The sequence below is a fragment of the Homo sapiens genome, chromosome X (genome assembly GCF_000001405.40).
Source record: "Homo sapiens chromosome X, GRCh38.p14 Primary Assembly".
Taxonomy (NCBI): domain Eukaryota; kingdom Metazoa; phylum Chordata; class Mammalia; order Primates; family Hominidae; genus Homo; species Homo sapiens.
The window spans coordinates 112,736,430-112,741,158 of record NC_000023.11 but is presented as its reverse complement, the minus strand read 5'-3'; the positions used below and the strand labels follow the sequence as shown (position 1 = coordinate 112,741,158).

Here is a 4,729-nt window from a genome sequence, read left to right as displayed (position 1 = left end):
CTGACATTACTGAGTCCAGAATGCCTGATGGGGATACTTGCTTCAGTTAGAAGTTTGGAATTTCGGCTGCAGCTTCAAATGTTCCCCTCTCTCAGCTCCCACTTAACAGAAAGAAGTACCTTAGTCTCCATCTCTCAAACTCTATTCAAGCAAACATTTCCTCCAGATAAAATATGGAAACCATGAAGTGTACAATTTAATCAAAATGCCAATAATCTTACTTTATATGATCTAGAAGTTAAAAGCCCTGGAGTCAGACAGAGCTGGGTGCAATTACTAGATATTGATCATGACAAGCCAGCCTCTCTTTAACCCACTTTTCTCATCCCTAAAACAGGGCAATAATAGCTTATCACATCAGGTTTTGTGGGACTTAAATGAGAACATGCACGTAAAGCACAGGAAGCTTCCAGAAACTGTTCATGCTATTATTACACTTTTCGGCATACTTTCTCCTCTCACTTCTTTTAAAAGTCTCACTACCCATTCTGTGAGGTAGAAGCTGGGGCAGAGTGGAATAACTTGCTCAGGACCACACAGAGTCCTGACAGAATGGTGCTGTCTCCACCAGTGACAAGAGCTCCACCTCAGGGCTGGAGCTCCCAGCTGCCTGAGCATGTTTTAAAGGATTCCATTGTAAACATATGTACTAAGTTCACCAACTCCTTCCTTCCTTCCTTTCTTTTTTTCTTTCTTTCTTTCTCTCTCTCTCTCTCTCTCTCTCTCTCTCTTTCTTTTCTTTCTTTCTTTCTTTCTTTCTTTCTTTCTTTCTTTCTTTCTTTCTCTCTCTCTCTCTCCCTCCCTCCCTCTCTCTTATGTTCTTTCTTCTTTAAGGAAGAGAAATGAAACCAGATGCTATAAGACCAGGGCAAAATCTCAGGACAGTCTTGTTTTCGGTTAAATTTTTATAGTAATATTTTATTGGCACAGTCTCTGTCTTTCCTTTCCTCTTCCTCCATTGCTTTGCAATTCCATTGCCTTCATCTGCACTTAAAATGGCCAAGGCAAGCAAGGCAGGCTAAAAGGCAGTAGGGGCAGGGAGGCCTCCTCGAGATTTCCAGGTCAGGACTGCCATAGATTTTGTATCCTTGGAGAGAGGCTTCCTTTTCTGCTGGGCTTGGAAATATCTCCGTCTCTCGGGTTGACACAGTCTCAGGTTCCCTCCTTCAGAATCCCAGGGCCTCTGATGGGGGCAAGAAACAGGTAAGCTCTCCTATCCTGGTCCCCCACTCCCCCTCCCCCAAACACCCACTTCCTTTATAGCAGCTGCAGCTGTTGGGTCAGCCTGGGAGCCCAAGCCCCCTCCCCCATACCCCTTTTCCCCAGGTAAAAATAAATAAAATGTCAGTGAGCTGATTGCTTTTTGGATTACACCTCACCTCTTTCTTCCTGTTTTGAGCCTTTTGGTTTCTTAGTGGAAACTACAAACCTTGCCTTGACTCCAGTGTGGGTGTGATTTCCTTCTTCCTGGCTCCCATCCCACTCTTCCCCGGCTCCTTCCTTCTCTAGCATGACTCTCTTATCTTTCTAATTGGGATTCCTCACCAGCAAAGGGTTTTCATCTCTGAAATTAGTAGGTGTCTTGAAAGGATGGTGGAACTAAGTTTTCTGTAACCCAGCAATTGGAGCCAAGAAATGAGAACTTCTAATCTATCTTTTACCTAAGACTCACTGTGTGACTGTAAGCCATTCACAGTGGTAGTGCCATTTGACTTGGAGAAAGAGGTATTAGCCCATATTAATCAAGTTATGCCAAAGAAGCTTACAAAAAGTGTGCTTGCTCTACAAACACGTTTTTCAAGACAAATCCCTTAATTTTTACCTGTCCCACCAAACCTCTTCACATAAAGAATGTAAATGCAAACAGTAAAAGGGTAGGAGGTGAGTAGATGCAGCTTTTCTATATAGAAATTCTGGAGCTACTGTTGGTTCTTCACTTTCTATGTTAATCTCTTTTTTAAGACTGTAAAACAACATCAACATTTAATATCTTTGGGATAGACTGAGATGCTTGCAGAGTTTACCTGGTATATGTAGGTCCCAGACTGTAGTCTGGACAGAACCAATCAGAATATTGGCCTGTGTGGTACATTTGTAGTTCTGCTTATAATCATTTTAAAACTATACCCAAAACAATTAATGAACAGTGATTGAAACTCTTATGCAGTGTACAACCATATTCTTTTCACCTGAAGTGCTCTCAGGCCTCCTCATATGGATCTGGAAAGCATTAAAGTAATTGAGGCAATGGAAAGGAGCAAAGCAGTAGCTGGAGACAGGCTTAGAAATGTAAAGTACATTGTTTTAGGGCAAGGTAGCTGAATAGCAGGGGGCAATTGAGGGAGGAAAGGTAAAGTGCTGATTATCTAAGCAGAGTGGAGGGCTGGAAATCTGCACCCCTATCTCCTGTTGGGAGCAGACTTGGGAGAGTTAGAGACTGTGAGTCTAACTTTTGGATGAGGAAAAGAGTAGTTCCTGTCCTAGAGGAGTTCACATTTAGTAGGGATGAGAAAGTGTACACAGATGAATAGTGGTTAAGAGCGTGGTCTGACACCAGGCCACATGGGTTTAACCAGATCTTCCACTAACCAACTGTGTGACCTTAGGCAAGTCATTTCAGCCCCTGAGTCATCGTGTCCTCACTTAGAATATGGAGGCAATAGTTGTACTTACCATACGAGGACAATGAAATGAATTCATACACGTAAAGTGCCTGGCACATATTGAGAGCTCAACTGATGTCAGCTCCTATTTATTCGGGGCTACCTCTGTGCTACATCCTTTGCATGTGTTGTCTTTTTTACTTCTCACCACTACCTATAAAGGAGAAATTGTTATTATCCCCTATTTCCAGATGAGGAAACTGAGGCTAAGATAAGTTAAGTGGATGATAATAATTGAGTGTAGAAAGTGCTATAATAGACAGGTGTAATAGGAATGCAAAGATAAACATGTCTAACTGCCTGGAGAAATTTGCAGAGGGCATCACGGAGAAGGACACATTTAAGGTGGGCTCTGAAGGGTAAATAAGGTTTCATCAAGAGGGGCACAGAACATGCAAAGGCAAACAGATGGTAGTTAAGCATAGCTGGAGTATAGATGTTGGCAGGTTAGGTATTAGCAGGAAATGGGCCTGAAGGTTGGTTTTGACCAGTTTGTGTATGCCACCCTAAGGAGTTTGGACTCTACTCTTTAGAGAATCATCAAAAACTCTCTGTGTTTAGGTTGTGTAAAGGGAGGGAATTTCGATGACTGATAACTAGGGTTTGTACTAGCATAGTAGCAATAGGCATAGAGAGATGAATCCAAACGGAGAGGTCAAAGGTAAAGCACTTCCGGGTGGGGCGCAGTGGCTCATGCCTGTAATCCCAGGACTTTGGGAGGCAGAGGCAGGGAGATCACCTGAGGTCAGGAGTTCGAGGCCAGCCTGGCCAACATGGAGAAACCCCATCTCTACTAAAACTACAAAAATTACCCGACTGTGGTGGCATTTGCGCCTGTAGTCCCTGCTACTCGGGAGGCTGAGGCAGGAGAATTGCTTGAACCTGGGAGGCGAAAGTTGCAGTAAGCTGAGATCACACCAGTGCACTCCAGCCTGGGGTGACACAGCAAGACTCTGTCTCAAAAAAATAAAATAAAATAAAGCACGTCTATTGCTTCATTAGAAATCAACTGAACAGGCTGGGCGCCGTGGCTCACTCCTGAAGGCGGAGGCAGGTGGATTACTTGAGGCCAGGACTTCGAGACCAGCCTGGGCAACATGGCGAAACCCCATCTCTACTAAAAATTCAAAAAAATTAGCCAGGCGTGGTGGCGCATGCCTGTAGTCCCAGCTACTCAGGAGGCTGAGGCAGAGAATTGCTTGAACCTGTGAGGCGGAGGTTGCAGTGAGCCGAGATAGCACCACTGCACTCCAGCCTGGGCAACAGAGAGACTCTGTCTCAAAAAAAAAAAAAAAAATCAACTGAATATATAGTGCATGCTTGCTTGGGAGTTGCAATGTAGTCTCTACTCCCCCTCAAGGAGCTCACAATAAAGTGCAGAAGACAAACCTCAAGTCAAAGGCAACCCAACAGTTACAATACAATATGGTATGCTCTGTGAGAAAGAGACACATACAGGATGCTGGAGGAGCACATAGAAAGTATATTGTTCTAGGGGTGGAGAGGTCAGTAAAGACTACCCATAGGAGGGACCACTTCTGTTACTTTTCGTTTGTTTGTTTTTGAGACGAGAGTCTCTCTCTGTCACCCAGGCTGGAGTGCAGTGGCATGATCTCGGCTCACTGCAACTTCCACCTCCTGGGTTCAAGTGATTCTCCTGCCTCAACCTCCTGAGTAGTAGCTGGGATTACAGGCATGCACCACCATGCCCAGCTAATTTTTGTATTTTTAGTAGAGACGGGGTTTCTCCATGTTGGCTAGGCTGGTCTCAAACTTCCGACCTCAGGTGATCTGCCCACCTCGGCCTCCCAAAGTGCTGGGATTAAAGGCATGAGCCACTGCGCCCAGCCTGGAACTAAGTTTTGAGGGGTGAAGAAGAGGTATCCAGGCAAAGAAAGGATAGGAATGGTTGTCATTCCAGTGGCAGGAATAACAGAAGTAAAAGTATAGAGGTATGCAACAGCATGGAATGTGGTAAGTGCTACAAGTATTTCAGGATTGCTGGAGAAGGAAGTGCATCAAAGGTAAATAGCAGAAAAAACAGGGCTAGAAAGTAAGGCAGAGAC

At 44.4% G+C, this 4,729-nt stretch overlaps 1 annotated feature.

The window, feature by feature from the left end:
• Positions 2,031-2,613: an enhancer, noted in NCBI's record as "OCT4-NANOG hESC enhancer chrX:111981774-111982356 (GRCh37/hg19 assembly coordinates)". NCBI's record gives its function as "activates a minimal SCP1, AML or CMV promoter by ChIP-STARR-seq in naive H9 embryonic stem cells {active_cell/tissue: H9 hESC(naive)}" and the evidence as "EXISTENCE:reporter gene assay evidence [ECO:0000049][PMID:30033119]".